Here is an 11,750-nt window from a genome sequence, read left to right as displayed (position 1 = left end):
GAAGAAAGCGGTAACATTTAACAACTGACCCCTGGCCAGGCATGGTGGCTCACGCCTGTAATCCCAGCACTTTGTGAGGCCAAGGCGGGCAGATCACGAGGTCAGGAAATCGAGACCATCCTGGCTAATGAGGTGAAACCCCGTTTCTACTAAAAAATACAAAAAAATTAGCCGGGAGTGGTGGCGGGCGCCTGCAGTCCCAGCTACTCGGGAGGCTGAGGCAGGAGAATGGTGTGAACCCGGGACGCGGAGCTTGCGGTGAGCCGAGATAGCGCCACTGCACTCCAGCCCGGGCGACAGAGCGAGACTCCATCTAAAAAAAAAAAAAAAAAAACAACAACTGGCCCCTGTTCCTTGTTGGTTAAAAGTTCCTTCCAGGGACCATTACCTCCTCTCACTTCCAAGCTGTGCGTGCATGCCAAACATTCTGCCGAGATGTTCACAGAGAAGCTTGGGGAAAGAAAGTAGGAAACCGAAACCAAAGGTGCAGAGCTGAGGTGAAAGACGGTTTAGATGCTCCGATGTGATGACTGAGCAGAACTGATGAGGCTGAAAAAACTGAAGTAGTGCACAACAGGTACCTGGTATATATATATATATATATATATATATATATATATTTTTTTTTTTTTTTTGGGCATGTGTAAGAACTATACAGCAAAATCTGTTAATGTGTTGGCTCCATTAGATGAATAAAAACTTTACAGTCAAGTGATGATACCTGATGTTAGGGACTGAATCAGATATTTCTCTTTTATTTTCTTTCTTTCTTTCTTTCTTTTTTTTTTTTTTTTTTTGAGACAGAGTCTTGCTCTGTGGCCCAGGCTGGAGTGCAGTGGCACGATCTCAGCTCACTGCAACCTCCGCCTCCCGGGTTCAAGCATGAATCAGATATTTCAAATAGAAACCCAGTTAAATTCATTTCAATGGTGGTTCCACTTTTTAATTCAATTCATGAAATCAGTAAAATATTTGAAAGTTCATTTGGTCAAAGGTGAAACATCTGCCATTATTCTAAATGTTTTTAAAATTAAGTTTAAAAATCCATCATTGAAGATAAAATTATTTATGTTTCTGGCGATAATACAAATAAGAATTTTGGTGGAGCACAGTATTGAGGTAGAAACAAAACTTGTGTTAAATTAAGGAACTTGCCAGGCACAGTGGCTCACGCCTGTAAACCCAATACTTTGGAGGCTGAAGTGAGAGGATTGCTTGAGGCCACCAGTTCAAGACCAGCCTGGGCAACACAGCAAGATCGCATCTCTAGAAAAAAAATTAGCCAGGTGTGGTGACATATGCCTGGAGTCCTAGCTACTTGGGACGGTGAGGTGGGAAGATCGCTGAGCCCAGGAGTTTGAGATGACAGTGAGCTATGATTGTGCCACTGCGCTCCAGCCTGGGTGATGGAGTCAGACTCTGTCTACATAAATAAATAAATAAATAGATAGATAAGAAAAGATAAACCACTGACTAACACACAATATTTATAATACATATACCTGAAAAGGGACTTGTATCTAAAATACATAATGGGCCTTTAGAACTCAATTATAAGACAAGAAAACAATTTAAAATGGACAAACATGGCCAGGTGTGGTGGCTCACCCCTGTAATCTCTGCGCTTTGGGAGGCCAAGGCAGGTGGATCACTTGAGCCCAAGAGTTCAAAATCAGCCTGGGCAACATGACGAAACCCTGTCTCTACTAAAAATACAAAAATTAGCCAGGCATGGTGGTACGTGACTTTAGTCCTGGTTACTTGGGAGGCTGAGGTTAGGGGATCACTTGAGCCCAGAAAGCCGAGGCTGCAGTGAGCTGTGATTGTGCCACTGCACTCCTGGGGAATGAGAGTAGACCCCGTCTCAAACAAACAAACAAACAAACAAACAAACAAACAAGGCAAAAGATTTGAATAGGAACCTCATTAAAGAAGATATATGAATGGCCAACAGGCATATGAAAAAATACTCAACATCATTAGCATCAAAGAAAAGCAAATTAAAACCACAATGATATGGCATTACTCATTTGTTAAAAGGGCTAAAATAGAAAGACTCACAGTACCAAGTGTGAGTGCAGGTGAAGTAATTGGAATTCTCTTCACTCCACCTGTGCACTGATGGTGGGAGTGTTGAAATGTATAGCTGCTTTGGAAGATAGTCTGGCTGTTTCTTACAAAATTAAACATTCTTTTTTTTTTATGACACAGCAGTTCTGCTCCTAGGTATTTATTAACCATAATCATAGCAGCTTTATTTATAATTGTTCAAAATTGGAAAACGAGTGAATAGATAAAGAAATTGTGCGCTATCCATACAACTCAGCAATAAAAAAGAACGAACTACTGAAGTATGCAACTACATGAAAGAATCTCAATACATTATGTTGTCACACCTGTAATTCTAGCACTTTGGGAGGCTAAGGCAGGCAGATCACTTGAGACCAGAAGTTCGAGACCAGCCTGGGCAACATGGCTAAATCCAGTCTCTCTAAAAAAAAAAAAAAAAAAAAAAAAAATAATAATAATAATAATAATAATAATAATAATAAAACAAAAATTAGTCAGGCACGGTGGCTTATGTCTGTAGTCCCAGCTACTTGGGAGCCTGAGGTGGGAGAATCGTTTGAGCCCAGGAGGTTAGGCTGCAGTGAGCCATGATCAGACCACTGCACTTCAGCCTGGGGGACAGAGAAAAATAAAAACATTACGTTGGCTGGGCGCAGTGGCTCATGCCTGTAATCCTAGCGCTTTGGGAGGCCGAAGTGGGTGTATCACAAGGTCAGAAGTTCGAGACCAGCCTGGCCAATATGGTGAAACCCCGTCTCTACTGAAAATACAAAAATTAGCTGAGTGTGGTGGCGGGTACCTCTAGTCCCAGCTACTCGGGAGACTGAGGCAGGAGAATCGCTTGAACCTGGGAGGCAGAGGTTGCAGTGAGCTGAGATCGTGCCACTACACTCCAGCCTGGGTGATAGAGCGAGACTCCGTCTCAAAAAAACAAAAACAAAAACAAAAACAAAAATTATGTTGAGTGAAAGGAGCCAGATCCAAAAGACTATATTGTGTATAATTCCATTTATATGAAGTTCCAGAATAGGCAAAACTTATTTACAGTAAGGGAAAGGAAATAATGGTTCTGAGAGGGGGACATGCGGTGGTGAAACTAATTATGGAAATGACTTTTCAAAAGAATTATTTGTAATATGGCTGGGCTTGGTGGCTCATGTCTGTAATCCTAGCACTTTGGGAGGCCGAGGCGGGTGGATCACCTGAGGTCAGGAGTTCGAGAGCAGCCTGGACAACATGGTGAAATCCCCTCTCTACTAAAAATACAAAAATTAGCCGGGCGTGGTGGTGCATGCCTGTAGTCCCAGCTACTCAGGTGGCTAAGGCAGGAGAATTACTTGAATCTGGGAAGCAGAGGTTGCAGTAAGCTGAGATCACGTCACTGCACTCCAGCCGGGGCAACAGAGCAAGACTCCATCCAAAAAAAAAAAAATTATTTGTAATATACTCCATAGCTTAATTGTGTTGGTAGTGTCATGGGTGGGTGCATATGTCAAAATTTATCAAACTGTATACTTAAAATAGTTCTTTTATTATAGGTAAACTGCACCTCATTGAAGTTGATTGAAAAGGCATTTTATAAATTGCTAATTTTATAAAATAGGGTTAAAATATTCACAAGATTTACTTTAAAAAATATAACTGATAATATCTTCCATTTAGTATACTTTATTCTGTGCTTTAACAGGCACCTCAGGACCTGTAGAGAAAGCATGTTTTTTTTTATTTGTTTGTTTGTTTTGTTTTTTTGAGATGGAGTCTCACTCTGTTGCCAGACTGGAGTGCAGTGGCATGATCTCGGCTCACGGCAACCTCTGCCTCCTGGGTTCAACTGATTCTCCTGCCTCAGCCTCCCGAGTAGCTGGGACTACAGGCGTGTGCCACCATACACAGCTAATTTTTGTATTTTTAGTAGAGATGTGGTTTCACCATGTTGGCCAGGGTGGTCTTGATCTCTTGACCTTGTGATCCGCCTGCCTTGGCCTCCCAAAGTGCTGGGATTACAGGCGTGAACCACTGTGCCCAGCCGAGAAAGCATGTTTTTTAAAAAACATTATAATCTACAAAAAGTAATCAATTAAAAGTTCAAAAGTTTCAAACTAACTTTAAAATGCAACTTTGAAGAACAATTTTCTGAAAAATTTAAAAATAATACCTTTGTCAGAAAAATACTAGTGCTGTGGTATTAAAAACAAATCCACTCAAGGAATTGATTCAAGCATGTGATATTCACCAAGGATGATTGTTCTGATTATGTTATTTGTTAATGTTTTGATGATCAACATATTAAAAGTTTAAAAAATTTTGCTTGAATGTCCCCCACTATCTGTCTACATATCTAGATGTAGACAGATAAGTTTTAGTATTTTAAAATAATTTCCTTTTTGAAAAGTTTTCAAATAGATCTTTAAAAAGATTTACCAATATAATAAAAATGTTTTAGTCAATAAATTTATATATATATAATTTTAATTATTTTTATGACCATTTTCACTTTCAAATGTGTCATGATCTGGATAATATATTATATAGTCATCTTGTCTATGAATGTAACACAAACTTCCATAGTTGGGTATTCATGAATCTCTGCTTTTTAATACCCATTCTGCTCCTGTCAAATGGAACTATTCACTTTTCCACATCCAAGTAAGCATTCCTCAGCCCCATTCCCACTTCCACATAACTGTTTCCTACCCTTTCTCCAAGGTCCCAGTTAACTCCTCTATGAAGTCCTTCTTTTTTTTTTTTCCCAAGAGGGGGTTTCACTCTTATGCCCAGGGTGGAGTGAAGTGGCGTGATCTTGGCTCACTGCAACCTCTGTCCCCCAAGTTCAAGCGATTCTCCTGCCTCAGCCTCCGGAGTAGTTGGAATTACAGGCGCCCGCCACACTCAGCTAATTTTTGCATTTTTAGTAGAGACGGGGTTTCGTCATGTTGGTCAGGCTGGTCTCGAACTCCTGACCTCAGGCAATCTACCCGCCGCAGACTCCCAAAGTGGGAAGCCCTTCTTTTTAGCCAGATCTTTGTCCCTGTAGCACTTTAATTCTCTTTAACTTATCACATTTTAAATCCCTATTTTTTATATGCACATTTTATCACCTCTTCTTTCCTCCAAGTGCTTTAAGGCCAGGGGTATTAATAATCTTATTCGTCTTTATATCACTCTCAGGTCCTACTATAGTACCTGGCACTGAGTATGCACTCAATAAACACTTGTTATATAAATGAATATGTGAAAGAAAGAGCAAAGGAACCAACAAATGAATGAATGACTCATGAATGAAAACTCTAGGTGGCTCACTCCTGTAATCCCAGCACTTTGAGAGGCCGAAGCGGGCAGATCACTGGAGGCCAGGAGTTCAAGACCAGCCTGGCCAACATGGTGAAACCCCATGTCTACTAAAAATACAAGAAAAAACAAAAAAAATTTAGCCAGATGTAATAGCATGCACCTGTAAATCCTAGCTACTGGAGAGGCTGAGGCAGGCGAATTGCTTGAACCTGGTGGGTGGAGGTTTCAGTGAGCTGAGATCACGCCACTGCACTCCAGCCTGGGTGACAGAGCGATACTCTGTCTCAAAAAAATAAAAATAATAAAATAAAATGAAACTCTATTTAGCACGCATGCTGAGTGTAGTTACCACTGCCTTTGATCTATTGGCACCCATGAAGTAGTGAAACAGATTTTTAAGTTCTTTTTATTTTCATTTGATTTGTGATCATTGGTTAATTCCCAAATACAATTTAAGATAAAGTCGGTGTACATGGAGTAGCTTAAAATCTTTCTTTCTCACTCCTTCCGATTTCTTGTGGTTTACTAGAATGCTTTTGACATCCTGCTGCAAAAGAAGAGGAAAGTTCTGAAGTGTCCTGATTCAAAGGTCCTGGTCCATGGTTTCTCCTTCCACCAGGACAACCTGTTCCAGTGTGGAGGCAGGGGTCCGGACAACAGCCCTGACACTGACGTGGGATGCCCATTGTTTGCAGATCCTGTTCCCAAGTTTCTTCATGGGGAAGAGCTGATCATAATTTTATCTGATCATAGTTCAGGCTGAGCTAGGGCACACAGACATCATGGTTTGGAATTTTTTTGTATATCCTCCATAATGTGTACATTGCCTTATACATAGTGCATGCTCATGACTCAAAAATAACTCACTGAATTAACAAATGAATGAACAATCTAATCATCACATAAAGCAGGAAGGGCTGCCCTTTTGTCCAGAATTGTGAAACTGCGGGCTTCCAGGGATGTGGGAGTGCTGTCTTGCCCTGCCTCCTATCTTTCTAACTTTAGCCACCACTTTAGAGGTAGCATTTAGCTCCAGTGACACGAATCTACCAATGAGGCTTACACTTTGCATAAACTCTGCTCTACTGCCAAAAACTTAAAGCTGAATTAAAACAATGAAATATCCATCAGCCAGTGTTTGTCAGGCACTAACTGTATATGTGTGCAACACTCTTGTGAAACTTACAGAATTTACAAATAAAATGCAGCACACCATTCTTGCTCTTCGAGAACTTTAAATCTTTTCAGGACTAATATGAAAATATTCACAGACAAAAAATGCAAAACTTTATAAATAACACAATATTGAATTGAGTGGTTCAGAAAATAAGGAGGTGCTGAGTTTAGAGAAGTTGATTGAGCTGAATAAAGTTTTGCTGTAGAGGTGGCTGGTATTCACTTGTCAGCAAATATTGTGCAGGTTGTTTCTGAGAATCTATTTGGATATTGCAGCCCAAATTCTTTTTTTTTTTTTTTTTTTGAGATGGAGTCTCGCTCTGTCGCCCAGGCTGGAGTGCAGTGGCGCGATCTCGGCTCAGTGTAAGCTCCGCCTCCCGGGTTCACGCCATTCTCCTGCCTCAGCCTCCCAAGTAGCTGGGACTACAGGCGCCTGCCACCAAGCCCGGCTAATTTTTTTGTATTTTTAGTAGAGACGGGGTTTCACAGTGTTAGCCAGGATGGTCTCGGTCTCCTGACCTTGTGATCCGCCCACCTCGGACTCCCAAAGTGCTGGGATTACAGGCGTGAGTCACCGCGCCCGGCCTTGTAGCCCAAATTCTTTATCCTGATTCTGACATGCTTATAAGCCATTACTGGTTCCCTAAGTGTCTTGCCATCTTTCTGGTCCTAAGGGTTGGGTAGTGAGCTCTAGGCACGAGCTCTCCATCAGGTGTAGAGCAGCATATCTGGAAGCAGGCTGGGCCAGGTAGAGTATTTATGTCGCTCCAGAGGTGTGGAGCTAGGGGGAAAAAACCAAAGAAGTGGAAAATGAACAATGGGTAGAAACTACTAGATATTAGGGATAAGGAGAGGTAATAATCAGGAAAATGACTTGCTAGGCCATAAGAAGCTCTGGCAGGTCAAGAGAGAGATACAAGATGTCCTGAGTGGTTCTGGAACTGTGAACGTTGTAGGGATGCTGGAAGCCCGAAGTGGCCAGGGTGGAAAAAGGGAGGCAAGTATTAGAATGCGACGGGACTACGCAGAAGTGAGGCCATGATAGAGAAACCTTGTTTTAACAACCACCAGTTAAAGATTAGTCAATCCAGGAAGTCCAGAAATAGGATTTTGACCCAGTCACTGTCTTGGGGAGTCCCAACCTGAGTGCAAAATTTTCAGTTCTGTTATTGCCGGTGCTGTCATCTGTATCAAGACTGTATTATTATTATTAAGAGTATTAGAATGTATTTAGATTGATTCATCCATGTGACCTCTACTCACCATATACCAGTCTCACTGGCTCCTTCCTTCCTTCCTTCCTTCCTTCCTTCCTTCCTTCCTTCCTTCCTTCCTTCCCTTCTTTCCTTCTTTCTTTCCTTCTTTCTTTCTTTTTTTGATGGAGTCTCACTCTGTTGCCCAGGCTGGAGTGCAGTGGTGCAATCTCAGCTCACTGCAACCTCTGTCTCCCGGGTTCAAGTAATTTTCCTGCCTCAACCTCCCGAGTAGCTGAGATTACAGGTGCATGCCACCACACCTAGCTAATCTTTTGTATTTTTAGTAGAGACAGGGTTTTGCCACATTGGCCAGACTGGTCTCCAGCTCCTGATCTCAAATGATCCGCTGCCTCAGCCTCCCAAAGTGCTGAAGTTATAGGACGTGAGCCACTGTGCACAGCCCACTGGCCTTTTTCAATTTTTTATTTTTGTATATGAGGCATATTTGCACTGTAAGGCCTTTGCACATGCTGTTCCCTCTGCAGATAATTACTTTGCTTTGGGTCTTCAAATGTCACACCCTCAGACCACCCGGTCTAACATTGCTTCTGCTCCATCCTCAACTTGGCTGAGCCTCTACTGGACATTTCTGGGTTGGATCCAACCTGGGATAGGCCACCCTGTCTAAGGAGACTTGTCCACATCCCCCAGAGGCTGCTTAGTTGTGCTTGGTGACACAGCAAAGGACAGGATTGATGATTTGGAGGAGCCAGGGAAGTGGCTCCAGGACCAGCCAGCCAGCAAAGGCCACTTAAACTTAGCTTTTTCTGAATTAGTTAAGATGACTAGAAAAAAACAGAAAACAGAATGTGGTCAGCGACAGAATACTTTAATGATTGAAAACATAGAATCAGTAAAACATGGTCATCCTTGGCCCACCAAGAAATTGGTAGGTTTGGCAGTGCAGAGTTATCAAAGCCAAATATTCGCAAGTTCTTAAAGAAGTGAGAACATTAAAAATATAAATCAAGGAAAAGAGTATTAAAGCATCTTGCTGAGGTGCTTTTAACATTAAGCCATTCTTACCCCTGATGTGAAAACTGACAAAAGTTCAGTCCATTGGTTCAAGAGGTCTTGGTTGGTCACGCAGGCATCCACTGCTAGAAACCATGATAGCGATCTATTTAGATAAAGGCTCTGAATAAAAGAGCAGAGACTTCTCAGTCAATTCTCACTGACTCTATAAAAGACATCTATTCAACTCTGTGATTTTTATCACCTCTGTAGATAATAATGATCTTATGATTTTTGAAGTAATATGCCTAAGATTTCTGAATCCCATATTAGAATAAAATGATCTAGCAATGGGATAGACTATTACAAGTAGGACTGTTTTTTTCCTTATCTAACATCAACTTATCCATCCTTAGGAATAATCAAATTTTGGGCATGGAACCAATACCAAAATATGAACTTATCCTTTCCCTCCATTTGTATGTGGCCTCAAAGCCATGGGGTGGTTGAGGGGGTGACATTTGAAGACCCAATGCAAAGGAATTGTCTGCAGAGGGAACAGCATGTGCAAAGGCCCAATGGTGCAAATATGCCTTATATGCATAAAAAAAAATAGAAAAAGGCCAGTAGGCCGGGTGCAGTGGCTCACACCTGTAACCCCAGAACTTTGGGAGGCCAAGGTGGATGGATCACTTGAGGTCAGGAGTTCGAGAACAGCCTGGCCAACATGGCGGAACCCCATATCTACTAAAAATCCAAAAATTAGCCGAGCGTGGTGGCTGCGTGCCTGTAATCCCAGCTACTAGGGAGGCTGAGGCATGAGAATCGCTTGAACCCGGGAGGCGGAGGTTGCAGTGAGCTGAGATTGCGCCACTGCACTCCAGCCTGGGTGACAGAGCAAAACTCCGTCTCAGCAAAAAAAAAAAAAAGAAAAGAAAGAAATAGAATAGATGAATAGTCTGAAAGTGTAATGGATTGCATGTGGCTTAACAGATCCATTTTTCATGAGATGCCCTGGTGGTTGTCAGCTGTCTTCTAGGTGAGATTAAAACTTGGCCACTCTTTCAGTTAATAGCAGTGTCTAGGGGTTGTGAGGCCATCCTCTAAGGTTGTATCAGTAAAAACATGATTTAAAAAGGCTTGCCCCCTACTTGCCTTTACCAATAATGGCCAAGACTTAGAGGTAGATGTGAGGCCTGTGCTTCGAATGCACCATAACCTTTCCAGAGAAGTTTTGGGCTGGGCTCCACTTCGGGGCTCCAAGCCAGGGTGGACCATGTGTGTGCTGCTCTGCTCAGCTCTGCGAGTTCAAGGACAGGCCTGGCTCCTCTTTTCTAAGCTCGGCTCAGGTCTTCAGCCAGCTTACCCACTTAGGAAGTTCCCCTGCCCTTGTGGAGAACAAACATTTGTAAAAGATGGCCTGGAACTTTGTTCCGGTTTCATTTAGACAGGCCAACTATGCCAAAGGCAAATCCTAGCAGCAGCAGAAGAAAGAACTGGACATTGCATTCTCTCTGCAAAAAGGAAGATGGTGTCGGGCCCCTCCTTGTGGGCTCATGATGACATAGTCAAGGGTGTAAATGAGCCTGATTTTTTCCCCCTTTCTCTTCTTTCCTCCCATAGACAACAAGATTCATGGTGTTTTCCCTAATTTTATCTTCATTAATCTTATTAATAGGTTTTGGCAAAGTTTGTTCCATCAGCACTCTCCATGGGGAATGTTTTCTTTACCAAAGTTCACGATTCTCCTATTCAAATCCCTAATTTCCATGGTTTCACTTCAGTGCTTTAGTGCTCCTGAGGCCTTTCAGGAATGAGCTCAATTATCAACCCCGAGTGAATCTGAAACCTGATTCAGTCTTCTTATGGTCTGATTAAAACAATGCGCTTTTATAAATGTCACTAAAGAAATCGTCAAACCTCAACTGCTAGAGGTTGGCCAGGCAATAATTTCCTCCTGTGAACTTGTGGCTTATTATCTTTCAAATATTTGAAGCAGATCAGTGGTCTGGTGGTCATTGTGTGTCTTAGGAGGTTAAGATTTTACTGTGAAAAACATTCCTTATGATTCTTGGCACGCACATTCCAAAAAAAAAAATTCTATCAAGACCTGACAGTTATAAAATTAATTATTTGAGCTTGAACAATTCAAAAGCATCATCAAATTAAAACAAGGTAATTTGGCACAGAGGTTATTGCTCATCATGTCTTCTAATTACTTTTCTGTATTTTGAAAAAACAAAAACAAAACATTAAGTGCTGAGATAATGAACTTTGGGGGCGGCATTCCGCAGCAGTCCCCTTGGTGATGGAAAACAGCACTGACTTCCAAACAGACCCATCTGATCTTTCCCAGAAGGATGTGGGTTATTATAGGATGTGGCGACTCTGACACTCAGTCTCTTCAGAACACCTTTACAACACATGAACACGAACCACATGCATGTCTCTGGCAGCAAGGGAGAATAAAAAGAAAAAGAGACTCAAGAGTGCTTTTTAAAAAATTCAACTTTATTGAAGCATAATTGACATTTAATTAAGTGCATTATTTTAGGTGTGTAGTTCTGAGTCTTGACACTTATGCACACTGTAGTGTACCCACCAGTACAATCAAGATATAATACATTTCTGTCACCCCCAAAACCTCCTGGTGTCTGTCACAGTCAATCCCCACAATCCATCCCACTTTCCAGCCCCAGGGAAACTGTTTTCCATTGCGATAAAGTAGAATTTCATATACATAGAATCACAGGGTGTTACTCTTCAATATTTGACTTCTTTCATTCAGCAAAATGTTTTTTATTTTTATTTTTATTTGAGACAGAGTCCCGCCCTGTCACCCAGGCTGGAGTGCAACCTCCACCTCCCGGGTTCAAGCAATTCTCCTGCCTCAGCCTCCCTAGTAGCTAGGATTACAGGTGCCCACCACCATGCTCAGCTAATTTTCGTATTTTTAGTAGAGACCAAGTTTTGCCAAGTTGGTCAGGTTGGTCTCAAACTCCT

The 11,750-nt window shown here is 41.9% G+C and overlaps 2 annotated features.

Moving 5' to 3' along the window:
• Window positions 7,085–7,285: a silencer, noted in NCBI's record as "peak1244 fragment used in MPRA reporter construct". NCBI's record gives its function as "represses an SCP1 promoter by STARR-seq MPRAs in K562 erythroleukemia cells {active_cell/tissue: K562}" and the evidence as "EXISTENCE:reporter gene assay evidence [ECO:0000049][PMID:32103011]".
• Window positions 7,479–7,538: an enhancer, noted in NCBI's record as "active region_4564". NCBI's record gives its function as "activates an Ori minimal core promoter by ATAC-STARR-seq in GM12878 lymphoblastoid cells {active_cell/tissue: GM12878}" and the evidence as "EXISTENCE:reporter gene assay evidence [ECO:0000049][PMID:35858748]".

Source organism: Homo sapiens, chromosome 11, assembly GCF_000001405.40.
Source record: "Homo sapiens chromosome 11, GRCh38.p14 Primary Assembly".
Taxonomy (NCBI): Eukaryota; Metazoa; Chordata; class Mammalia; order Primates; family Hominidae; genus Homo; species Homo sapiens.
Note: the sequence above shows the minus strand (reverse complement) of the source record. Positions and strands in the feature narration are given on the sequence as shown.